Source organism: Homo sapiens, chromosome 10, assembly GCF_000001405.40.
Source record: "Homo sapiens chromosome 10, GRCh38.p14 Primary Assembly".
Lineage (NCBI taxonomy): Eukaryota > Metazoa > Chordata > Mammalia > Primates > Hominidae > Homo > Homo sapiens.
In genome coordinates this window covers 92,952,452-92,980,093 of record NC_000010.11, presented here as the reverse complement: position 1 = coordinate 92,980,093, position 27,642 = coordinate 92,952,452, and the positions used below count along the sequence as shown (strand labels likewise).

General features: G+C 39.0%; 1 protein-coding gene across 12 annotated transcripts in view; it reads right to left on the bottom strand.

Moving 5' to 3' along the window:
• EXOC6 (exocyst complex component 6) overlaps positions 1–27,642 on the bottom strand; it is a 232,660-nt gene that overhangs the window by 79,397 nt on the left and 125,621 nt on the right. For all 12 annotated transcript variants that reach the window (NM_001013848.4, NM_001319194.2, XM_017016344.3 and 9 more), the window contains 3 exons: positions 25,353–25,464; positions 24,380–24,514; positions 5,862–6,041 (listed from right to left, as the gene is read on the bottom strand). In NM_001013848.4, the coding sequence (NP_001013870.1) occupies positions 5,862–6,041; positions 24,380–24,514; positions 25,353–25,464 (427 nt within the window). The remainder of the gene's footprint in view (positions 1–5,861; positions 6,042–24,379; positions 24,515–25,352; positions 25,465–27,642) is intronic.

The following is a 27,642-nucleotide window of genomic DNA, read 5'->3' as shown; positions in this document are numbered from 1 at the left end:
ATATTTAGCAGGGAAGCTTAACATTTTGGGTAATGGGAAAATATTTGTTATTTCTATCAATACTATTTAGCTTGCTGTTAATTCCTGTAGCCAGAAGAGAGGCTGCCTTCTCAGCTACAGCACAGAAAAATGCAGATGAATAGGTATTTTAATCTGGAGGCAAGGTGAGGGGATTTTTTTTTTTTTTTTTTTTTTTTGAGACAGTGTCTCCCTCTGTTGCCCAGGCTGGAGAGCTGTGGCATGATCTCAGCTCACTAAAGCCTCCGCCTCCTGGGCTCAAGCAATCCTCCTGCCTTAGCCTCCCAATAGGCTAATCTTTTAATTTTTTGTAGAGATGAGGTTCACTATATCGCCCACGCTGTTCTCCAACTCCTGGGCTCAAGCGACCTTCCTGCCTCAGCCTCCCAAAGTGTTGGGATTACCAGTGTGAGCCACCACAGCCAGCAAGGGAAGTAATCAATTCTCTCACTCATCTAACCTTGGATATAAGAGGTATTTAAAGCGAACATTATTCGGGTTATTGTGGTTTTCCAAATCCTACAGGTTTCCACTGCTACCACAATATGTGAAAATAATGGAGTTCTTTCCCTGGACTCCATCAAAACCATCATTATCTATTAATCTGTACTGTTCTCATGTCCTGTGAGCAGAGAACAAAATCTCACTGGATAGATCATAACTTTTCTGGAACAAATGGAACTTTTCACTAGGCAATGGTCATCAGCAATTGCACATCATGACAATCTTTGACTAAGAAAATATTCTGATTAGCCAGGCATGGTGGCCTGCACCTGTAGTCCCAGCTACTCGGGAGGCTGAGGGAGGAGAATCGCTTGAACCTCGAGGCAGAGGCTGCAGTGAGCCAAGATTGCACCAGTGCACTCCAGCCTGGGTGACAGAGCAAGACTTCACCGGAGGGGAAGGGAGGGGAAGGGATCCCTTTTGGCAGGGGACTGACAGAAACTAAATACTCAGTGAAACTAAGGGTGGAGCTTTTAAGCTAAAAGCTTAAAAGGTTCAATCAGGTAACTTTCAGGGTTAGGGAGTGACAGAGTCACCTCTATCCCAGAAAATCTCCAAATTTTTGCACTATTGGACAATATTTGCACATTTGAAAGAGTGCCCCTTGGTTTCTCAGCTTCCATTGACTCTAACGTACTCCATTGTTCCTGAACACTACCAAAACCAAAGACAGGGCACGGGGCCCAACCAGAACCACCACTTAACTCATGTCTGTAAGTAGGATGGCTTGTTCTGCTTAAGAGGACTGATTTGCAGTTAAATGTGATAAGCTTCGTCTGAAGCTTCTTTGAGGGTTAAAGAAGGCCAGAATTGGCCCTTTACTCTATTTGGGTCCAAGAATAACCTTAAACCAAGAAATCATTTTCAACTTAAAACATTTAAATAAAAATGGTAGCTTAATGTAATGCCATACTTCATCTAGAAAAATAATAGATTTAATGCCTCTGCCTCTTCTCTTTGCTTAAAACAATCTAGTTGAATATTTAATACAATTTCAGGATTTTAGAAAACTAATATACAAAGCAATAATATAATCACTCTATTGACTCTAAAATTTACCATAGTCAATAATTTATTATTTTTGCTTGAAAATCATGCTTTTAGTTCATTCTTGAATAACAATATATTGTTGTTAGGACCATTTTTCTCTTTTGTTTTTTTTTGAGACAGGTCTCACTCTGTCACCCAAGCTGGAGCACAGTAGCATGATTACGGCTCACTGGAGCCTGCACCTCCCACGCTCAAGCCATCCTCCTACCTCAGCATCCTGAGTAGCCAAGACTAAAGGTACACGCCACCATGCCCAGTTAATTTTTGTATTTTTTGTAGAGACTGGGTTTCACCATGTTGCCCAGACTAGTCTCGAACTCCTAGGCTCAGGTGGTCCTCCCATCTTGGCCTCCCAAAGTGCTGGGATTATAGGTGTGAGCCAACGTACCCAGCCCACTTTTCTTTTTTCTTAGGTGTAAACTATTATTTTCTTTTTATATGGTTGTACCTTGTATTTATTGTTGAATTTATTGGTCTATAAAAATTTATTTCCTTTATAGAAAAATCTATGTTAGATGACATAAAAATCCAAAATGGCATATGAAGACTCAGCTAAAGCCATACAAAATGTCGTAACAGATAGATGAGTGATCTAGTTAGACCAGGATTCTATTTCTCTCAATGCCACCAGAGTATGTCTTATGAAAAAGCAGGGTTTCCTCTAGGATGTCAGCCTAGAAGGTGACCTTGGAAGGTGAGACATTTACCCCAAACATTTCTAACACATAATCTCTCTTAATCCTATTCCATTTATGTACAAAATTCCTACCCATCACCTCAAAGCAATACATGACACAGATATTAAAACATAAAACGTGTGTGTGTGTATGTGTGTGTGTGTGTGTCTGCAAGCACGTACATGTGTTTGTTCTTGAGGACTGCTTTTGGCTAGAAGCATGATTTATACTGACAAGGTGAATTCAAATTAATTTAACAATCATTTAGTATAAACTATATAAAAAGCACTTCTATAAAAATTCATTGATATAAAAATTAAATATATTTATAGATTTCCTTTTTCAGTTCAAAGACAGCAGTTGGGAATACAGTATCATCCCTGGGTAGGAATACAGTATCATCCCTGGGTAAGCTTCTAAAATTCTCTGGCCCAGATCCATGATGACAATCTCTTTAAAATAGTCTTCCATTAATTTTTTTTAGGAACACCTTCCCTCAACTTTTCTAATTGGTTCTTTGAAGCAGTTTCTGATGGAGAAAGAGTAAAGGATGAGGAAAATTACCTTTTTTTTTCCCCATTCCAAGCAGAGAGAGGATGGTTGGGCGCAGCTGTGTAGGTTCCAGATTAACCTACTTATGCCTAGCATTCCATTATTGGAACACTAAGCTTGTGGGAGTTATTTATATCACACTGCTCAAGGTCATCTCCAAGATCTGATTTTTCACACAAAATAATTTGCAACCTCCAGCATAAATGGGTTAAACACTTTATTCTTCTGTTCAGCTATATCGTATCATAAGATAAAAAGGTTGATAAAATTTCTTCCTATTTTTTTGTATAAAACTATTGCATTCATGTTTTAACAGTTTTATTATTTCTGGATATACCTAGTAAGAGTATGTTCATCCCACCATAATATCTCTAGTCTTTGCAGTCCTCATCTGAAGAATCTAACATTTCAGCTTCTTTATATCCAAATGTCCTTGCTGTATCTTTTTTTTTAATGTTTCATCAACCAACTGTCCAAAATGTAGATGTGCTATGACTACGTGCCAGGATAGAACAATGCTCCAGTTTTACTTTTACTCTCTTGGCTCAAAAATAGCCAGTAATTTCTTGGTCCTTTCTAACTGGAAAAGCCATTAATTATGTTTTTTTTTTTTTAATTTATTATTTTTTTTTTTACTGATCATTCTTGGGTGTTTCTCGCAGAGGGGGATGGCAGGGTCATAGGACAATAGTGGAGGGAAGGTCAGCAGATAAACAAGTGAACAAAGGTCTCTGGTTTTCCTAGGCAGAGGACCCTGCGGCCTTCCGCAGTGTTTGTGTCCCTGGGTACTTGAGATTAGGGAGTGGTGATGACTCTTAACGAGCATGCTGCCTTCAAGCATCTGTTTAACAAAGCACATCTTGCACCGCCCTTAATCCATTCAACCCTGAGTGGACACAGCACATGTTTCAGAGAGCACAGGGTTGGGGGTAAGGTCACAGATCAACAGGATAAGTATTTTTCTTAGTACAGAACAAAGTGAAAAGTCTCTCATGTCTACCTCTTTCTACACAGACACGGCAACCATCCGATTTCTCAATCTTTTCCCCACCTTTCCCCCCTTTCTATTCCACAAAATCGCCACTGTCATCATGGCCCGTTCTCAATGAGCTGTTGGGCACACCTCCCAGACGGGGTGGTGGCCCGGCAGAGGGGCTCCTCACTTCCCAGTAGGGGTGGCCGGGCAGAGGCGCCCCTCACCTCCCGGGCGGGGCGGCTGGCCGGGCGGGGGGCTGACCCCCCCCCCCACCTCCCTCCCGGACGCGGCGGCTGGCCGGGCAGAGGGGCTCCTCACTTCCCAGTAGGGGCGGCTGGGCAGAGGCGCCCCTCACCTACCGGACGGGGCGGCTGGCCGGGCGGGGGGCTGACCCCCCCACCTCCCTCCCGGACGGGGCGGCTGGCCAGGCAGAGGGGCTCCTCACTTCCCAGTAGGGGCGGCCGGGCAGAGGCGCCCCTCACCTCCCGGACGGGGCGGCTGGCCGGGCGCGGGGGCTGACCCCCCCACCTCCCTCCCGGATGGGGCGGCTGGCCCGGCGGGGGGCTGGCCCCCCGACCTCCCTCCCGGACGGGGCGGCTGGCCGGGCAGAGGGGCTCCTCACTTCCCAGTAGGGGCTGCCGGGCAGAGGCGCCCCTCACCTCCCGGACGGGGTGGCTGGCCGGGCAGGGGGCTGACCCCCCAACCTCCCTCCCGGACGGGGCGGCTGGCCGGGCAGGGGGCTGATCCCCCCACCTCCGTCCCGGACGGGGCGGCTGGGGGGCTGACCCCCCCACCTCCCTCCTGGACGGGGCGGCTGGGTGGGCGGGGGGCTGACCCCCCCCACCTCCCTCCCGGACGGGGCGGCTGCCGGGCGGAGACGCTCCTCACTTCCCAGACGGGGTGGCTGCCGGGCGGAGGGGCTCCTCACTTCTCAGACGGGGCGGCTGCCGGGCGGAGGGGCTCCTCACTTCTCAGACCGGGCGGTTGCCAGGCAGAGGGTCTCCTCACTTCTCAGACGGGGCGGCCGAGCAGAGACGCTCCTCACCTCCCAGACGGGGTCGCGGCCGGGTAGAGGCGCTCCTCACATCCCAGACGGGGTGGCGGGGCAGAGGCGCTCCCCACATCTCAGACGATGGGCGGCCAGGCAGAGACGCTCCTCACTTCGTACATGGGATGGCGGCCGGGAAGAGGCGCTCCTCACTTCCTAGATGGGATGGTGGCCGGGCAGAGACGCTCCTCACTTTCCAGACTGGGCAGCCAGGCAGAGGGGCTCCTCACGTCCCAGACAATGGGCGACCAGGCAGAGACGCTCCTCACTTCCCAGACGGGGTGGCGGCCGGGCAGAGGCTGCAATCTCGGCACTTTGGGAGGCCAAGGCAGGTGGCTGGGAGGTGGAGGTTGTAGCGAGCCGAGAGCACGCCACTGCACTCCAGCCTGGGCACCATTGAGCACTGAGTGAACCAGACTCCATCTGCAATCCCGGCACCTCGGGAGGCCGAGGCTGGCGGATCACTCGCGGTTAGGAGCTGGAGACCAGCCCGGCCAACACAGCGAAACCCCGTCTCCACCAAAAAAATACGAAAACCAGTCAGGCGTGGTGGCGTGCGCCTGCAATCGCAGGCACTCGGCAGGCTGAGGCAGGAGAATCAGGCAGGGAGGTTGCAGTGAGCCGAGATGGCAGCAGTACAGTGCAGCTTCGGCTCGGCATCAGAGGGAGACGTGGAAAGAGAGGGAGAGGGAGACCGTGGGGAGAGGGAGACGGGAGAGGGAGACGAGCAATTGTGTTAACTCTATGTAAATTATTTCTATTAGAGATTATTTCTATTTAAGTCTATATTGTCAGTTTCAGGGTTTTGCCTTGGCTTTGGTGGAAAGAGAGTTACAGTTATTTTGGTTAAAAATAAAATAAATTAAAATTTCAAACAATTTGGCTAAGTTATAATTCCTTACAAATGGATTTATAATAATGGAGAAAGAAACATGCACTCCAAGAAGTTGGTTTAAGCAAGGAAACCTCAAACTAAATTCTAAAATATACTTTAGTAAGCAAACATAAAACAATTTTTGAAAATTTTTATACTTACAGGCAAATGAGTAAACACTTGAAAGATGCTTCTCAAAAAATTTATAAGGTCCATTAAATAACCACTAGCTCTTCCATCTGGCTCAGACATTGTCCAGTCATAATCAGCAAGCTGAACAAATTCATCAATTTTTTGATTCAGTTTGGTATATATTTCTCCTTCTGCTGCATGTCGAGCATCCTGACATGGGACAAAATAACAACAAAGACAAGAAACAGATAATAAAACAAGTGTTCTTACAATTCTAGATATTATTTTACATTTACCTTTGGTTTAATATTTTAGCCATTTATTCAAAGTCCAGGAAAACTGTTGGTTTTTTTTTTCTGGCAGTACTCTATTTATTTGACTGGATATCACATCACATCTTTTCTTAGTTCCTTTCTAACCTATCACCTTTTTTTGTCTTTATGTGATAGAATACTTTATGAGATATTAATTCCTGACTTGTTCTCACAACTCTAAGAGGACCCTTAGGAGAAACAGAAGTAGAAAAACGAAAGTTGCCAAGAACACAGAAGACCACCTCTATCTAACCCCTGATTCACTGAGAGCAATTAAGTTGGACTATCACAGAAGAAATGGAATATCTGCCAGTGCTTTGAGTTTAAGCAGGGGTGGAGGCAGAAGAGAAAGAGATTGAGATAGTTAATTTCTCTGAGAAGAAAGAAACAATAGGAGTGATGCCAGCAAAAATAACAGCGGGAGGATCTCCAAACATTTTCTCATCCATAAAAGTAACCAGAAAACTTATCAAAAATTGTCAAAATCAACCTTTTCAGAACTCTGAAAATTAGTTCAAAACTTGCAGAAATACAGGCATCATTTATTCAAGAAAAACAGCTAAATCTTGGTAGAAAAATGAGCTTTGTAGCATTTTAATGTGCCCTATTTCCATTATTCTTCCTCTGTTCCAGCTCTACAGTACTCTCAAAAGACAACATTCTAAAACTCTGGTGGAAACCTATAGCTTGCCAGCTATCAAAGCAGACAGAACAGAGCTGCAGCTCCTTCAAAGCCACATTCTCAGAGAATTATCATTATTTGACCTATCTGGTGGTTCCCTGGAAGACTCCATGCCTATTTACAGGGATGTCTTTATTTGACCTGAATCAGGACTTGCCTAGTACAAAAAGCCTTTTCCCCAGGGGCAGCTGTCAAAAACAATTAGAGGCAATAAGTTTAACATGGAGGATGCCTGAGATGGTAGGTAACAACTGGGACAAACGATAGGTCAACCAAAGGGCTTAAAAGGAAAAATTAGGGAATAAAATGTCCACAGATGACTCTGAAAAGCTCTAACAGATTCCTGGGCATCTAAACGGCCACATACATACATAGGGCTGTGTACACACTTGGGAAAGACCTAAGAAGGCTCCAAGCTCTCATTTATGGCTGACCTTGAAGCTCTGTGCAAGACAGAAATAAAACAGGGTAGTGACAGGAGAAAATGAAATTCTAGGCAGCAGTTTTATGTGACTAGCCAAAGGAAACTGTTGAAATAGCTGCAGAAGCTATGGGCTGATAAGACAAGACCCTGAAAAACAGGGTGTAAACCATGCTGGCTAAGACTGACAGGACTCAACATGGTGATAGATTTGGCCTAAGTTTCACCCAGGGCTCAATGTACACTCATAACATACTATATCACATACCCACCAGTGCCATGACAATTTTAGGAACACTCATATTTGGTGTAAAAACAGGTGGCACCACAGTTCCAAAAAAAATTCCACCTTTTTCCAGGAATCATCATGAATATTTCATCCCTTGGTTAAAGAAATTCATAAAGATAGCAGCTCCACCCCACCTTGTGCATGACTCACTCACTCTCTCTCTCTCAAGTGTGCCTGCACTCCCCTCTCTTGAATGTGTACTTTTTTGTTTTGCAATTAAGTCTCCATACTTTCACTATTTTCTGACTCATCCTTGAATTCCTTCTCACGACAGTATCAAGAGCCTGGACACTGGCTGGGATCAAGGTCCCAGCAGCATTTGGGGACGTCCCCTAGCCCACTGGTATCATGTGCAAGCAGGAAGTAAAAGTCAAAGCAGAGTGATTAACTTCCTATCTCAGTGTTTAAGACACACCCCAACATGTGCACGGAGCCCTTTGGCAAAGACTAGGGGACTTACAGGTTCCAGGCTTTTAAGCAGATCTGTATCCAATCACCAGATGACCACTAAGCTAACCAAGCAAAGACTTCAGTGGCCACATATGACAAAGAACACAGACTTACAGATTTAGTTCAGAAAGGTCACAAAACAAACAACAGATGGGAGAAACAACAAACCCTTGGGAGAGGTGAGAACTTCCAAAGTTGTCATCTTATATTATTATAAATGTACAGTTATCAACAAAAAATGACAAGTTATGCAAAGAAACAAAGTATGACCAATACACGGAAAAAAAGCAACCAATAGAAACTGTGAGGCAGCTCAGATGTTGAACTTATAAGACAAAAACTTAAGAACAAAAGGAAACCATATCTAAAGAACTAAAAGAAAATTATGAGAATACATCAATAAATAGGGAATATAAATAGAAATTATTAAAAAGTACAATAAGTGACGCGTGTAATCCTAGCACTTTGGGAGGCCGAGGCAGGTGGGTGGATTATCTGAGGTCAAGAGTTCGAGATGAGCCTAGCCAACATGGTGAGACCCCATCTCTACTAAAAATACAAAAAATTAGCCACACGTGGTGGTGTGTGCCTGTAATCCCAGCTACTTGGGAGGCTGAGGCAGGAGAATCACTTAAACCTGGGAGGCTGAGGTTACAGTGAGCCAAGATGGTGCCACTGCACTCCAGCCTGGGTGACAGAGTGATACTCCATCTAAAAAAAGAAAAAAAAAAGTACAATAAGTGAAGTGAAAAAAAAATCACTAGGCTGGGCGTGGTGCCTCACGCCTGTAATCCCAGCACTTTGGGAGGCCAAGGCGGGTGAATCACGGGGTCAGGAGATCAAGACCATCCTGGCTAACATGGTGAAACCTTGTCTCTACTAAAAATACAAAAAAATTAGCCAGGCCTGCGCCTGTAGTCCCAGCTACTCGGGAGGCTGAGGCAGGAGAATGGCATGAACCTAGGAGGTGTTCCTTGCAATGAGCCGAGATCGCGCCACTTCACTCCAGCCTGGGCAACAGAGCGAGACTCCGTCTCAAAAAAAAAGAAAAAAAATCACTAAAGAAGTTCAACAGCAGATTTGAGCAGGCAGAAAAACCAGAAGACTTGATCCACAATATAAATCAACTGGACCTACCAGACATCTATTGTACACTCCACTCAGCAAGAACAGACCACACATTATTCTCAGATGAATAATCAAAATGTACCATTCCCACATTTTAACACTTCTTTGGCTCCCTCTCCAATTTTCACACTAACCACTTACTACTCACTGCCATGGTGGGCTGGGGAAAACCAACTATTGATAGACATCTTTCTATTTGCATGCCTGGCTTCACAGTAGGATTAGAACAAGAATTCGAAGATATTTCTTCTCTCCCCATTCAGTGATTCAACACAAAGCTGACATTAAGGAGAGGCACTGAGTTCAACAGAGCTTCCCCTCAACTACAGAAGAAAGTAAAAATAAACATTACTTTAGATAAAACAGATATTTAAGTTAATGTTAATTATATGAATTGAAATTTTAATGAAGCACTATTAAATATGGTAGTAGCAAGATGAGCTCTGACTCAAAATAGTTAACTTATACAGTCATCCTCTGGTAAGAGATTGGTTCCGGGATCTCCCTCGGATACCAAAATCTGCAGATGCTGAAGTCCTTTATATAAAATGGTGTGGTATTTGCATATAATCTACACACATCCTCCTGTATATTTTAAACAATCTCTTGATTACTTATAACACCTACTACAATGTAAATGCTATGTAAATAGTTGTCACACTGTATTGTTTAGGGTATAATGACAAGAAAAAGAAGTCTGTACATGTTCAGTACAGATGCACCACGCATTTTTTCTTCCAAATATTTTTGATCTATGATAGGCTGAATCCAAGATGGGGAACCCAGAGATATGGAATGAAGGCAGGAAGTGTGTGTCTGTTTTCATTCACTGATATATCCCTAGCACCGAGAACAGTGCTTGGCACATAGTAAGCAGTAGATGAGCACTTGTTAAATGAAAAAAGGAAATCACCCCTGTCTTGAAAAAAGTTTATAATCTAGTTGAGGACAGAAAATCTAGATAAGGATAGAAAATACAATAGTCGACCAGGTGCGGTGGCTCACATCTGTAATCCCAGCTCTTTGGGAGGCCAAGGTGGGTGGATCACCTGACGTCAGAAGTTCGAGACCAGCCTGGCCAACATGGTGAAACCCTGTCTCTACCAAAAATACAAAAATTAGCCGGGCGTGGTGGTGTACGCCTATAATCCCAGCTACTCAGGAGGCTGAGGCATGAGAATTGCTTGAACCCGGAAGGCAGAGGTTGCAGTGAGCTGAGATCGCGCCACTGCACTCCAGCCTGGGCAACAGAGTGAAACTCCATCTCAAAAAAATAAATAAATAAAAATAAAAGAAAGAAAATACAATAATCCCAAAATGAATAAACATGCACAAATTAATACTAACTACATGTATAGTAAAGGTATACCAAATAAGAAGAGATCATGTTGGTTAGAAATAGGGTTTCATGGAGGAAAAGCTACATGGTGATATGGAAAAATAGGAATCTAGAAGAAGTATTTATGTGGTGGCTGTTCCAGTTACTATTTTTGAGTTAGTGGCTTAAAATAACAAATATTTTGTTATACTCACAGGTTCTATGGGTCAGGAAACAGTGGAGATGACTTTGTACTACAGCATCTGTGACCTCAGCTGGAAAAGACTTGAAGGCTGGCAATAAGACTCAATAGCTGGGGATTAGAATCATCTGGAGGCTTCCTCACTCATATGTCTGGCACCGGGGATGGGTAGCCTTTCCATGTTGCTTGGCTGCCTCAAAGCCAAGCACTTTAGTGTTTCCTCAAAGCACTAAAGTGGCTAAAGAGTAACTGGGCTTCTTACATGGCAGCACAGGGCTCCAAGCATGTGTGCTCCATGCTTGGAATAAAGGCAATAACACATTGCCTTTTATGTCCTAGCCTCAGAAGTCTAAAGTCTCAAATGATTTTTACTGTACTCTCTTGGTCAAAGCTGTCACAAGTCTGCCCAGATCAAGAGAAGGGGATACAGGTCCCCACTTCTCAATGAGAGAAGTGTCAAGGAATTTGTAGCCATTTAAAAAATCCATTCCTGCTAATAATGAGTAACGAAGAAATGACTCATAAAGAATATGGGTTAATACTTCCACTTACTTAATAGAAAAAAACAAAACGGTTTTGGGAAAATGGGAAGGTGTCTGATTCCCACTATTTCACTTATCTTTACATCTTAAGCAAATTAACTTAATTTCTTATTTATGAAATGAGAATCATCCCCATCTCACAGGGCTGTTTTGAGCATTATACAAGCTTCTATAATTAAAACAAAGTACCTAACAGTAATTGGCACCCAGAAGGGGCTAAAACAAATTAGTTTTCTTATACTTACTTATGTTTTTTTACCTAGTAATGCTCAATAAATGTCTTACTAAAAGAACTGTATGGAGACTATTAATATATCACAATTCCAAGCCTTCCAAATTGCCCAAGTTGGCTTAACTTAGTGTAGTTATTTTTACGTAAGGGAGAAAAAAATGGGTATTAAACATTAACAGAATTTTTTTTATGTAAAACATGGCAGGCACAGTGGTTTATGCCTATAATCCCAGCAGTTTGGGAGGCTGAGGCAGGAGGATCACTTGAGGCCAGGAGTTAAATAACTGCCTGGGCAACATAGTGAGACTCTGTCTCTACCAAAAAATAAAAAGTTTAGCTGGTCATGGTGGCTTGTGCCTATAGTCCTAGCTACTCAGGAGGCTGAGGTGGGAGGATCGCTTGAGCTCAGGAGTTTGAGGCTGCAGTAAGCTACGATTGCACCACTGCACTGCAGCCTGGGTGACAGAGCAAGACCTTGCCTTTAAAAAAAAAAAAAAAAAAAGGTGAAACACTAACCAGTGGAAAGGGGTGTCATATTTAACATGTATAATTCATGGCAGTAACACCTATTTCTCTTTAACTTCATTAACATTAGGGGCAGGTACCTAAGATGGTAAATGCTTATGACCTACAGAACTAAAGATAACACACCTTAATGACATCATTTGTAAGTCAATTTTCTCAAAGCAATATAAAAATATGTATTTACCATTTTGCATTTTGCCCCAGTGTTCATAATCAGTTCCCTCATTCATGTCTCACTACATTTACTGAATCTAAGCAGATGAATATAGTTCACTACACAACTGAAGAGAGGCAGTAATTCCAGAAGGCAGCTGGATAAGAGAACCCTAAACCTCAGAACTATGTACAATCATCTCATAAATACTCAACCTGCTTCCCTTCTATCGCCAGGCAAAGAAAATTGAGAGTCTGATTGCTCCTATCTTTCGCTGCATTTCCTATCTGCACTCAGACCACTATTTATGATTTCTTTTGCTTTTTTGGGATGCCTCTAATATAGGCAGGAAGAGAAGATGCATAACAAGCTTTTAAAAGCCAGATTCAAGAAGCTCCCCTCCTCCAAACTTACAGAGCTAAAGTACTTGGTTAACTTTAGATTGATATAAAACTGGGTATTTTATTAAAACCAAATTTAAATCCAGCTTTAATTCTCTTTTTTAGTTTATAGAATTTTATTAAAATAAAATAAAGATGTTAGTTCACATTTTCCTAGATTTAAAAAAGCAATATGGGACAATTGAAATATTAACCAAAAGTTGAGGGGGTGGTAGAGACCAAATATCTAGAAATTTTTAAGTCACGAGGGAAAAAACACTATTTTTATCTGAAAGAAGAAAATTTTAAATGATGACAAAACCATTCACACCATCACACTAAAAAGCTTCTGCACAGCAAAAGAAACTACCTTCAGAGTGAACAGGCAACCTACAAATGGGAGAAAATTTTTGCAACCTACTCATCTGACAAAGGGCTAATATCCAGAATCTACAATGAACTCAAACAAATTTACAAGAAAAAAACAAACAACCCCATCAAAAAGTGGGCGAAGGATATGACCAGACACTTCTCAAAAGAAGACATTTATGCAGCCAAAAGACACATGAAAAAATGCTCATCATCACTGGCCATCAGAGAAATGCAAATCAAAACCACAATGAGATACCATCTCACACCAGTTAGAATGGCAATCATTAAAAAGTCAGGAAACAACAGGTGCTGGAGAGGATGTGGAGAAACAGGAACACTTTTACACTGTTGGTGGGACTGTAAACTAGTTCAACCATTGTGGAAGTCAGTGTGGCGATTCCGCAGGGATCTAGAACTAGAAATACCATTTGACCCAGCCATCCCATTACTGGGTATATACCCAAAGGACTATAAATCATGCTGCTATAAAGACACATGCACACGTATGTTTACTGCGGCACTATTCACAATAGCAAAGACTTGGAACCAACCCAAATGTCCAACAATGATAGACTGGATTAAGAAAATGTGGCACATATACATCATGGAATACTATGCAGCCATAAAAAATGATGAGTTCATGTCCTTTGTAGGGACATGGATGAAAGTGGAAATCATCATTCTCAGTAAACTATCGCAAGGACCAAAAAACCAAACACTGCATATTCTCACTCATAGATGGGAATTGAACAATGAGAACACATGGACACAGGAAGGGGAACATCACACTCTGGGGACTGATGTGGGGTGGGGGGAGGGGGGAGGGATAGCATTAGGAGATATACCTAATGCTAAATGACGAGTTAATGGGTGCAGCACACCAGCATGGCACATGTATACATATGTAACTAACCTGCACATTGTGCACATGTACCCTAAAAGTATAATAATAATAATAATAATAATAATAATTATAATTACATGCTTTCTAGACCACGTTTAGGGAAAAAGTGGTTCAGAAAACACCACTTTCTAAAAGGAACTAAGCAAAAATAAAAGGGAAAACATAAAAATTTATTTATTGCTTTTTGTTATTGTCACTAGAACTTTGTTGATAAGTCTGTTTTTCTGAGGTGACACCACAAGCAGGTTCCACTTTTCCCATAAAATATCTAAGTTAAAATAACCTTTTCTCAAGATGTTAAAAAACTTTCGGGGAAGGGTACCTAATATTTTTTAAGGTTTATTAATGCTTTCCACGGGCTATAATAGGAAGCAAATAAATCTATGTCAGGGAATCACGGGCTGTACTGTGTCAAAGAAAAATTTCAGACAGCACTCCCGAGCAGGAATATGATTAAAGTCAACAGTTGAAAGGACTTTTCTAAGGACTAAGAATTCTGCTTATTTTATAATCCAGACAAATATAATCATTAGAAAACATATGTGTCTGATCTTTATAGCTGCATGAACTGGCTCACTATATTTTCTTTTTAAAGAAATGGGAGCAAGGATAGAAAGAAAAGATAGAAAAGGCTTTCAATGTAACTTTTCCTGTAGTTATACATAGGAATACACTAAATTATTTGGTAAGACATTCCTAAGAGATGATTACTAATGATTACTAACGATTTAGTAATTGCTAAGGAAATTAGTTAGAACTTCTTCGGGAGTTCTACAGTTGAACCCAGAATATTCTCAATCTTATGACCTTACCAGGAGGTCAAGAGCATTATCAACTCTTGACATTCTAGTCAGCATATCAGCTAACTCTTAAATAAAATGTAAGGATTCAGTTTATAAACAAAGTAATTCTTCCTTTGTTTGTTAAGGAAATAGTGCCCTCTGGAGGCAGAAATGTATCTAGCATAATTTGAGAACTTTTAAAAAAAATTTCAATGTGTAAGAATTAAATATACTATCTGTGGTTCCCAACCATAGGTGTGCAACAGAACCCACCTGAGGAACTTTTTAAAACATATACATGCACAAATTCCACCTAGACCTCCTGGAGCATAAACATGTGTGTTTTGAATAAAAGCTAAGTAGTAATAGCTAAAGATTTTAGTAAACATATACGATTTACTGTCTATTGTCCATTCCCCCTCTTGGAATAATTCCTAAATACATTTTGGAAAATCACCCTGCCCCCATTCACAGCTATCTCATTTGGGTAAGACTGAACTGATACCTAGCTCCAAGGTTGGGTCTTGCTAAGTTTAAGTCAATTACCAGTCCCATCCTCTTACAAAAAAATTATACAGCAGCTGGTGGAGGGAGACAGTTTCTCTTCCTTTAGATGACAGGACATGACGATGTGAGGTTTGGGACTGTGAGCAGGCAGTCATTTTGCTACCAGACTGAGACAGCCTAGAGCTGCTGGGAACTGCTGGGCCACTATAAGTAGTCTGACGATGAGGCCAAAATTGCATAAAGCAGAGTTAAAAGATGGAGAGACTCTGGATCCATGGTGACATCTACTGAGCAGCAGTGCCCTATCTTTGGACATCTCAGTGTCACTGGCCAATAATTTTTCCTTTATTGTTTAAGAAAGTTTGAGTTGCTTTTTCTATCAGTTCCTGTCAATTTTCTGTTAATAACCCTGATTAATACAACTATCTTATAATAGAAACATTTATTCAATATTTAAGAAAAAAGTTACATTTAATTTTGCTCATTTAAAGCAAGGGAAATACATGTATATTTTTATGGGCTTCAAATATGTAGGCAATAGATAAAGTTAGAGCTATCACCATAAAGGTGTCCTCCCTAGTTAACTTCTTCCTGCTCTAATAAACAAAATTCCAATAATCCATTATCTTGACCTAAACATTTCTAATGTTAGTTACACTGCATATAGCATCCAACTCATTATCCAATGTCACTACTAATGCAGAAGGGAAAAAGCAAATAAGACTAACCAATATAATTTATTAATAGTATTTAGTTATAATGAAGGAAAAGGTATAATAAAATGGCCAGAGAAGCCAATAAATTATAATTTTTTAAAAATATATATATAATTTCCATTATTTATTTTAGATGTTAATGTGGCAATCAAAAGAAGTTGTTTTATTCTTTATATTCTTGTTTTATTATTTTCTTTACATTTAGTACTTAAAAATCAACCAAAAAATAAAAGAGGGATTTGTGTGCTAAGCATCTCATTAAATTAGCAAAAAGCACTAATTCACCTGGTTACTTTTCATCAGGTTTTTTCATTATATATTACTGTGATTTTTTTTTTTTTAAAAAAGAGTATTAGGCTTTAGGATATGTATTGTGCCTTATACGCATGCAAATCACAGATTACCATTTGATCAATACTCTGGGTAAAACAAAGCTCAAGATCTGCTCCATAATGAACTAAGAAATCAAAAGTTAAAAGCCATGAAAAGCTTGTAGGAATTACAAGAACTGAAGTATCATAAAGTTCTAGAAATCTCTCTAAAAGATTATCTTGCTGGGTACAGAGGCTCTCGCCTATAATCCCAACACTTTGGGAGGCTGAGGCAGGAGATCACTTAAGCCCAGGAGTTTGACACTAACAGGGGTAATATGGTGAGACCCTATCTCTACAAAAAATAAATTTTAAAAAATCGGCCAGGTAAGATGGTACGCAACTGTAATCCCAGCTACTCGGAAGCCTGAAGTGGGAAGATCACTTGAGCCCAGGAGTTCAAGGCTGCAGTGAGCCATGATCCAAAAAAAAAAAAAAAAATTGCTCTTTATAAAAAGAAATACAGTCATCATGGACTATAAGCCAGAGATTAATAATATCATAGTTCTAAAGTACGCAGGTCACAAATAGTATACTAAATGTTCTATTACAAAGGTAGGTTACTGTAAGAGTTATGTTAATTATACCAAAAACAATTTTCAGAGGGAAATACAAAGTACTTCTTAGAGAGTTAGATAATGCAAGGTGAAGTATTAGGTAAAAAGCTACAGCCCAGATACAGCTGAAGATCGAAATTTAAGTAAAGGAAACTGACACTAACTGCTTCTAGAAGAAATTACATTTTTCCCCAGAATATACATTCAAAACACATGTAAACCAAACATTATTTTAAACCAAAAATAAGCATCCTTATTAACATAAGATGAATAAATATGATTTTATATTCCATCTTCTGGGTCATTATCTGAATGTCTGAATATAACTTCAGCTTTCTGCCTTCTGTGCATGGGTTTATACCAATTCTTCCTTATCCTCATCTCTGCTGATTAAAATCTTACCCATGCTCCAAACTGATACAAATACTTAAATGCCTTCAGGGTCCAGGCAGGTAACAAGAATAAGTATGGCAGGCAGGGTATTTACCGTAGGCAGGATCATTATAGAGTTTAAGTCTCATCTAAAGGTATGCAAATTCGAAACATTTAGAAAAACCACAAAACCAAATCAAACATGTCTACAGGACCAAATTCATCTACTATTACACACTGTTGTTATTTGTTTGTAGTTATCTGCTCTTCTAGATTAAAAGAATCCTAGTGGTCAAGAACCATTCCATATCTTCCCCTCAGCAATTAGCACAGTACCACAGAAATGCACTTTAGGGCCTGACAGCGGCTTACACGTGTAATCCCAGCACTTTGGGAGGCTGAAGCAAGAGGATTGCTTGAGTCCAGGAGTTCGAGACCAGCCTGGGCAATACAGTTAGACCCTGTCTCTACAAAACAATTTTTTTTAAATCAGCCAGGGTAGTAGCATGGGCCTGTAGTCCTAGCTATTTGGGAGGCTGAGGTGGGAGGATTGCTTGAGCCCAGGAAGTTGAGGCTGCAGTAAGCCAGGATCAAGTCACTGCACTCTAACCTGGATGACAGAGTGGGACCCTGTCTCAAAAAAAAACCATATATATATATATTTTTAACATTTTTACATTACATTATATATACATTTTTGCTTAATAAACATCATTTAACATATACCCCCAAGTGAAAAATGACACTCAGTTTAGACAGAACCATCTAAGGAATTACTGCTTTGTTTACAGGACTATCTTTTGGGACACAATCAAAGCCTTACTTTAGACAAGACAGAATATTTCATTTCTTGTTCTTTATCAAAGTAGCCTGTCCTAGAATAACCTAAATCTCTCATAGAGCCACCTGCTAATTACCTCACTTGTAGAGGGAAATATGGGTTCTGAGCTATAATCAATTATCTGGAATAATTCAAAATCCAGTCTTTGGATTATCTGAGATTGTCACAGGTCACTGTAAACTAACTACTCCTCTAATTCTCCGATTACCTAAGTTATCTCCTTTTCCTTTTTAAAAAGTGGCTGCTACATTTTTACCTTTCTAGTTTTCAGGGGCTTTTGTACCTCAAAAGTGTTCACAAATAATGACTAGTGGCTTTGTGGTAGCATCTGCCACTCCTTAAGTGGTTGTTTGTCATCAGGTTTGCAAATCATCTGATATAAATAGCTTTTTAAAGTAGTCCTCAACCATTTATCTCCCTACTCTATTTCTGCTTTCCATGATCTTTATAAGTGGCATTTTCTATAATTAACTGATTACTGATGATATTAAAAAAAAAAAAACAGAAAGCGGAGCACTCTTATCTATGAGGATTGAGGTCTCTACATTTTGTTGATCCTCCTCTTTTGTTTACAGAACTGAAAAAATGTTTTTATTTTTCCTGTTACCTTTTATGTTTTTGGCAAAGTAGCATGTCCCTTATTTACTTTTCTGTTCTATTTACGAAGGGACCTACAATTACTTATTCTATCCCATATATATTTGTTACCCAATCTGCTTTTGCTTTTGGTTGTTTTCTAACTTACCTTTTAGGATTTTATGTCATTCAAATGTATTAAATCAGCTGTAAGCATAAAACTGCTTTATACAGTCCTCTCTAATGGGGGAAGACCAGAAAAGAAGTTGGTGGTAAAGGATGACAAAAGAAATAAATGTCATATACATTGCCTTTTTAAAATGGCAATCAAATTGCATACACAATAAAATGAATTTTACAAAGGAACACTCCATCAATAAAAAAGCATATAAGTAATCAGAAGCTGACATGCAATTAATCAGTCAAGGCGTAATTTTGCAAGTACCTTCACAAAGCAATACATCAGCTTTACATAGATAAAACAACAAAACATTATAATTAAAATGAAAAAATTTTAAACTGCCAATAATACCTCATTAGTTCTAAATGTTTATGCCAGTTCCTGAATTTCTATCTTTACTACTAAAAATTAAATAAATTATATTTTACCCATACCATAACATCTGTCAAAGGTCACGTATCCAGTCAATAACCAGGATGAAAGCAAAAGAAAAGTTTCTAAATAGCCAAAAGTGATACAGTTCACACTAATAAATAAGGTGTAGTAAATTCTATCATGGAATACCATATTGAATTCAAAATAAATAAACTACAGCTACATACAACAACACAAATGAAATACCCCAACTCCTGCTGAGTAAAAGAAGTCAGACACACAAAAAGATGCACTCTGTATGATTTCATTTAAATAGAACCCAGAAAAAGGCAAAACTACTCTGTGCCGTTAAAAGTCAGTACTGAGAGGAAAAAAGATAGTGACAAAGGAGAGGAATGAGGAAGGCTTCTACGGTGCTAGTAATGCTTTATTTCTTGACCTCATAGTTACAAGTGTGTTCGCCTTTTTTTTTTTTTTTTGCAATTTAAATAGACTATTTTTTAGAGTAGTTTTAGGTTAACAGCAAAACTGAACAGAAAGTACAGAGATTTACTACATACCCCACAAATTCCAAAGTCCACAGTGTACACCAGATTCACTCACAGTGTTTTACATTCTATGGGTTTTGATGCATGTATACACAATTACATACTTTTAGAGCAATAGTCTCACTGCCCTAAACATCCTCTGTGCTTCACTTAGTTATCCCTCCACCACTCCCTCACTCCTGGCTACCATTAATTTTTTTATTGCCTCCATAGCTTTCTCTTTTCCAGAATGTCACATAGTTGCAATCATACAATATGTAGACTTTTCAGACTGGCTCCTTTCACTTAATAATATGCATTTAAGTTTCCTCTATATCAATGGCTAGATAGCTCATTTCTTTTTAGTACTTAATAATATTCCATTGTCCAGATATACCAGGGTTTATTTATACATTCACCTACTGAAGGACATCTTGGTTGCTTCCAAGTTTGGGCAATTATGAATAAAGCTGCTATAAACATCCATGTGCAAGTTTTTGGGTGAACCTAAGTTTTCAACTCCTTGGGATAAATACCAAGAAGCACAATTGCTGCATCATATGGTAAGACTGCGTTTCACTTTCTAAGAAGCTGCCAAATGGTCTTCCAAGGAGGCTGTAGCATTTTGCATTCCCACCAGCAATGAGTAAGAGCTTCTGTTGCTCCACATCCCTGTCAGCGTTTGGTGTTGTCATTGTTCTGAATTTTGGCCACTCTAATAGGTGTGTAGTGGTATCTCACTGTTGTTTTAATTTGCATTTCCCTTATGACATATATATGGAACATCTTTTCATATGCTTATCTGGTATCTCTGTATCTTCTTTGCTGAGGTATATGTTAAGGTCTTTGGCCCATTTTAAAATCAATTGTTCATTTTCTTCTCATTGAGTTTTAGGAGTTCTTTGCAATTTCAGACAAGAGTCCTTTATCAGATAAGTCTTTTTCAAATATTTTCTCCCAGTTCTGTGGCTTGTCTTCTCATTCTGTTGACAGGGTCTTTCATAGAACAGAAGTCTAAAATTTTAATGAAGTTCAGTTTATCAATTATTTCTATCATGGATTTTTCCTTTGGGGAACAATCAAGACCAATTAAAAAGTCATTGCCCCACCCAAGGTCATCTAGATTTTCTCCTATGTTATCTTCTAGGGGTTTTATCATTTTGCATTTTACATACAGATCTGTGAAACATTTTGAGTCAGTTTTTGTGAAGGGTGTAAGGTCTGGTCTAGATTCATTTTTTTACATGTGGATGTCCAGTTGATTCAGCACTATTTGTTGAAAAACTATCTTTGCTACATTTTATTACCTTTGCTCCTTTGTCAAAATTCAGTTGACTATATTTATGTGGGTCTATTTCTGGGGTCTTTAATCTGTTCCATTAATCTATTTGTCTGTTGTTTGTCCAATACCACATCTTATTCATTACTACAGCTTTGTTTTGTTTTGTTTTTGAGACGGAGTTTCACTCTACCGCCAGGCTGGAGTGCAGTGGTATGATCTCGGCTCACTGCAACCTCTACCTCCCGGGTTCAAGCGATTCTCCTGCCTCAGCCTCCCGAGTAGCTGGGATTACATGTGCGCACCACCACACCCAGTTAATTTTTGTATTTTTAGTAGAGACAGGGTTTCACCATGTTGGCCAGGATGGTCTTGATCTCCTGACCTCATGATCCGCCCACCTCGCCCTCCCAAAGTGCTGGGATTACAGGCATGAGCCACTGCACCCAGCCTCATTACTACAGCTTTATAGTAAGTCTTGAAGATGGGTAGTATCAGTCCTCCAACTTTGTTCTTCTTCAATACTCTGTTGGTTCTTCTGGGTCTTCTGTCTCCATATAAAGTTAAAGATCACTTTGTCAACATCCATAGAAAAACTTGCTTGGATATTAATGGGGAATACATTAAATCTGTAGATCAAGTTGGGAAGAACTGACATGTACCATGTCCTTGCTCCATAAGAAGAGAATTTCAAGCCCTTAAAGACAATTTACTACTGTCACTTCAGCCACAATCCTAAAAGGCTTTGCTACATAGTCATTAGCAGACAAAAACAAAAAAAAGGCAAGTTAGAAAAAGAATCAGAAGTGCATTTCTTCTAGGCATTTACAGTTGCAATTACTGCCAGGACTCAAAAGACAACTCTTCAGAGTAGCAGGCTGGAAAAGCTCCTTGGAGCCAAGTTAAAGATCCCTGATGCCAAAGAGAAAGAACTGGACTATTTCTCTACCACACAAGTTAGAAAGGGAATGGTATTTCCATTTTTTTTCTTCTATACTGATGCAAATTTTTCCAGTTAGGAGAAGACTTATATTAGCTTTAAGTAGTTCTCTAATTGGGTCTGAGTTACTTTCAAAAAGCTGAGGTACTGCTTGAGGGTAGGAACTACTTATTGAACCTCTTTTATATCACTTACAGAGTTAGCAAACAAGCTAACAAAACAGTCTATATGCTATTTCATAACATAAATACTTATGACACAAGATCAGGTAGCTTGTGTGTGCATATGCAGTTTTTGAAAGGGAAGCAAATGGAGGTATAGGTATCAAGTACTTGTTTCCAGAATCATTAAGCAATCAAATAGAAAGATGTTTTCTAGGGTCACTGAACTGAAAAAAAATCAGGCTAAGAGGCTATATAATCCAATCAAATGTCTACAGCCAAGACTGTACTTCAATCGTTTTTGTGAAAGAGGTAACAGACTATTCACTATGAATGGAAATTCCCCAGTGTCCCTCAGTAATTCACTTTAATATTGATTTAACAATCCTCCCTGTTGAAATGCTTCCCCTTATCACATTTAGAGACAAATTCCTCTTGAAATAGACCAAAAGACAGAACTGAAAAATACTTGACCTTCAAATCTTAAGATGAAAACAGCTCTTGCTCACATATTAGAAAACAGAAAAGCATTTACTGAGTTCTGTGTGAAAACAGAACAAACAAATAAACAACAAAAAACAAAGATGCTTTGCTATTTACAGAGCAGAACTTGATTTCCAAGGAAATACACCAAGGAGTATGCAATGATAGTTATGGCTTCAACTCTGGAATGATGAACCAGAGCTAACATTTCTAAACATTCTTTCCCAACAGGCAGATTTTGAGAAAAGCAGTTCCAAGATCCCCTAATCTAAGAACATTGTGTTCCAGTATCTTTGGTTCTCTGGCTTATGACCGATAAGAATAATTACTTGAAGATCCCTAGAAACACAAGATGCTAAGGCAATTCATGTTTTAATCAGAGGGTACTGGGTAAGCATATTAAAAGTAATGTTAACAGTTAAATATGCCTGCAACTCTAAGCCTGAGAAATCCCTTCTTGACAGGGTATCAGTAACAGATGGATGTAAGGACAGAGAGAACAATAAAGAGAAAGTAGAGGCATTATGTAAAATCTAACATAAAAGCTAACAATCAATTTGTCCTTGGATAAATAAGTAACTAAAAACTTGTGGCATCTCCTCCTATATTATCATACTTATTATACCATATTGTTAAGTGTCTTTTATTATTTTTTTCCTCCTCTGAGCTTCTTGAGGGCAGGGATACATTTTTGTATTCTCAGAGTCTAAACAGAGTGCTCAGAGCCTGACTTACATACAGTGAATGGCTCTGGGCTAAGTATCTTCCTTACTCCTCATAATAATCATATGAGGTAGGTACTGTACTGTTACTCTAATTTTATAGATAAAGAAACCTGGAATCATTTACATTAAAGAACTTGCCCAAGGTCACAGAGCAATCTAACTTCAGAGTATATGAATTTAATCACTGTACTATATTATCTGAATAAATGAATGCCTGCTTTTTTAGGCTTCTAAGTTTTAATAGCTAATTTTATAAGTCTGCTGATTCAGATATCATTCTGCATTTGTGTCTTATGTATTGAAATGACTACATGAGATCAAGAGTCACCAGAGGAGCATAATATTTGGGGGCCAAGCAGGTAATTCTAGGATCCCAGGGTTGTTTGTGGACTTCACACTTGCAACATATGGTTAAATGTTAACACTAAATTAGTTATTTTAAAACACAAGTACATTCATTTTTTACAATGCAAGTTACTACAATAAAATCTTGGGGGTGATTGATAATATAACAAAAGTAGTTAAAGAGAATTCTTTTTAATAGGAAACTTTTAGAAAGAGCTGTAAGGTTAAATTAGCAAGCCCATTTTACAGATAAGTGATCAGTACATGGTTTATCATTAGTTTAATAAAATATTCAATTCAAGGGGATTTATACACACTAGACTAAGCCAGTGTCTCATCTATGACTCCAAATAATAAAATACCTTATGAAATTGTTTAATCTTACATTCTACCTAAAACAACCATTAATTAATCCTCAGTATATTCTGTATATTATTCAAACAGAAATCTTTCCACCCGCAAAAGAGGTAGGACTTCAATGACATGTAATAATATTTATTTTTCTTCAGATCAGAACCAATCAAGGATGGAAAACAAATCTATCCTTTTTTAATTTGTCTTACATTTTAAATTTTCAAAAATAAACACTCATATAGAATTAATTTTTAAACTGTGAAATATTAATTCAGTTAGACCTAGTCAGCACTACTATAAATCATCAAAACATGAACAAAGCATAATACACTGTAGAAAATAAGTATACTTTTCTCCATGTTAATAAGATGTTTACAGTGCCAAAAAGAAACTGACATTTACTTGCTCATTGTTGACAATGAATACCTCTATTCTTAATTTTTAGGAATATAGTAGATCTTGCATATATAAGAACGGTCTTTAATTTCTTAACGTCTGCTTACAGTGACTGAAATGAAAACTTTTGGTCAAATTTTTACATACCTTGAAAGTAGAAAGTCCATAAAGTCTTGTAGTATGAACAGTTTCTTGGGAAATATTTGTAATGTTAGTTATAAAGTCCTCAAGATATTTACAAGCTTGCTCCAGGTGTGTTGTGTTTATGATGATTTGTACCAGCTAGAAAACACAAGATATATCTAGTAAAATACAGGTTACATGTATGTAAAATCACCTAATTTTTAAAAATGGGATTATTACTTCCAGCAACTGTACCATTTCTACATAATTGCAGCATTATAGGATACAACTATCTGATTTTAAAAGCCTGTTGCAAATACTGCGTATGAATTTATATATATATATATATACACACACACACACACACACCAAGAGTCTAAATACCAGTTATTTTAAAATAACTTTTCATAGTATGTTTCAAATCTTAAACATTTAGCAAGTAAAAAATTAGGATTGTGACTTTTCCTGTAGTCTGGCAATCAGAAATCTAAATAGATATTCTAACATCTTTATCTACTATTCCCCATATGAACCCTTTTCCCTCATTTTTTTATTTTTTCTTCCAGAGACAGGGTCTTGCTGTCACCCAGGCTGTGTAGTGCAGTGGTATGATTGTAACTCACTGCAGCCTCAACCTCCTGGGCTCAAGTCCAGAGTAGCTAGGAATATAGTTGCACACTACCACGCCTGGCTAATAGTCTTCATTTTTTGTAGAAACAGGGTCTCACTATATTGCCCAGGCTGGTCTCAAACTCCTGACCTCAAACAATCCTCCTGCCTTGGCCTCCCAAAGCTCTCGGATTAGAGGTATGAGCCACTGTGCCTGGGATCCTCACATTTCTGGAATTTACACTGGTGTTTTTATTTTGAAAACAAATCTGCTTATATTAATACATTTAAAACAGGAAGCTAGTTTTACAGAATGACGTTCAGCAATAATTTAAAATAATTGTTTCATACAATGAAACATTTCACTATATGTGTCTTTTTAACCTACCTCTGTCAAACCTATATGAGGTTTTCTAATAAGGTTCAGTAAACAGCTACTCAAAGTTCTGGTCAGCAGCAGATTTGTTGATTTTCTAAGCATATCGTCTATTTCTGTTGAGCTAAAAACAAAGATTGATATTATTAAACTTAATAAATAATGAATGTGGTTAGTTAACATCCTAAATAATTTAACACAGTTTACTAAAATAATTTTCCCCATCATTATTTTATATCTTTAAATAAACTACAAAGACCCATATTTATTAAATCACAAACTTCAATTTAACTTTGCAAAAGGGACATTTTCCATAAAGTAGAATATTCATATATGGCATAATTTAAATTTATCCAATTAACAACCACAGAAAAATCATAGAGGACTTGGTATAAGGAAACAAAATTATTCCTAAATTCCGACTCCATCATGGGATAGTAACTTTGTTGTTTTATTATTTTTATTATTGTTTTTGAGCCAGGGTCTCACTTTGTCACCCAGGCTGGAGTACAGTGGTGCAATTATAGCTCACTGTAGCCCCAAAGTCCTGGACCCAAGCAATTCTCACACTTCAACATTCTGAGTAGCTGGGACTACAGATGCATGCCACCATGCCCAGCTAGTTTCAAATATTTTATAGAAACAGGGTTGCACTATGTTGCCCAGGCTGGTCTCAAACTCCTGGACTCAAGTAATTCTCCCACCTTGGCCTCCCAAAGTGCTGGGATTACAGACGTCAGGCACCGCGCCCAGCCCCAAAAGACAGTCACTTTGAAAGAAACTTCATACACAACTATAGCTAAAAATTATTTTTAAAATACAAACTGATATGAGCTCTTTCTAGATATAATAAACAAATTTAATTTTTAATATAACTAAGTTATCCATTTTCATTGATTTTTTAAGTCTTCAAAGAAATAAATTACCTTAAACTAATTTTAATATGATGTTTCTTAACATCCTAAGTATTACTAAGCTAGCACTAAAAAACAAATTCTCTTCTCCTAACCATTCGGTCTTCAATTTAAGTAAATAATGATTTCTTGGATACAGCCTCATTATCACAACAGTTAAACTGTCTGTAGACCATGGATTATCCATCTCGGCACTATTGACATTTTAGGGTGGATAATTCTTTGTCGTGGAGACTGTCCTGCACATTTGGATGTTTGGCCTCTATCCACTAGTTTCAAGTAGCACCTCTCCCCTGAACTGTAACAACCAAAGATGTTTCTAGACATTGCCAAATTTGTGGGGAGGAGGTGGTGGCAGGAGAACCAAAATTATCCCCAGTTGAGAACTACTGCCTTAGATACAGGCTAACATTTTTGCATCCTTTTACTTTTTATTAAAATACTACTTTTAAAAATCTGTGGGCCAGGCGCAGTGGATTGTGCCTGTAATCTCAGCACTTTGGGAGGCTGAGGTGGGTGGATTGCTTGAGGCCAAGAGTTCAAAACCAGCCTGACCAACATGGCACAACCTCATCTCCACTAAAAATACAAAAATTGGCAAAGAGCAGTGGCGCGAACCTGTGGTTCCAGCTACTTGGGAGGCTGAGGTGGAAGGATCACTTGAGCCCAGGAGATCGAGGCTGCAGTGAGCCATAATTGTGCCACTTCATTCCAGCCTGGGCAACAGAGTGAGTTCCTGTCTCAAAACAAAATAAAAACAAAAGCAAAAACAAAAACAAACACAAAGAACTACCATTCAACCCAGCAGTCCCATTATTGGGGATATACTCAAAGGAAAATAAATCATTTTACCAAAAAGACACATGTACCCATATGTTCATTACAGCACTATTCACAATAGTAAAGACACAGAATCAACCTAGGTGTCTATGGCAGCACCCCTGGCCTCTACCCACTACTAGTTCCAGTAGCACCTCCCCATTGATAGCAATGTTGGATTGGATAAAGAAAATGTGGTATATAAACACCATGGAATACTACACAGCCATAAAAAAGAACAAAATCATGTCCTTTGCAGCAACATGAATGCAGCTGGAGGCTATTATCCTAAGCAAACTAATGCAGAAACAGAAAACCAAATACTGCATGTTTTCACTTGTAAGTGGGAGCTAAACACTAGGTACACATGGATGTAAAAATGGAAACAACAGATACTGGAGACTACAAGAAGGGGAGGCAGGGGTTGAAAAACTACCTGTTGGGTACTATGCTCGCTACCTGGGTGACACGTTCAAGCATACCCCAAATCTCAGCATTACACAATATGCCCCTATAACAAACATGTACCCCATGAATCTAAAATAAAAGTTGAGGAAAAAAAAGTTATG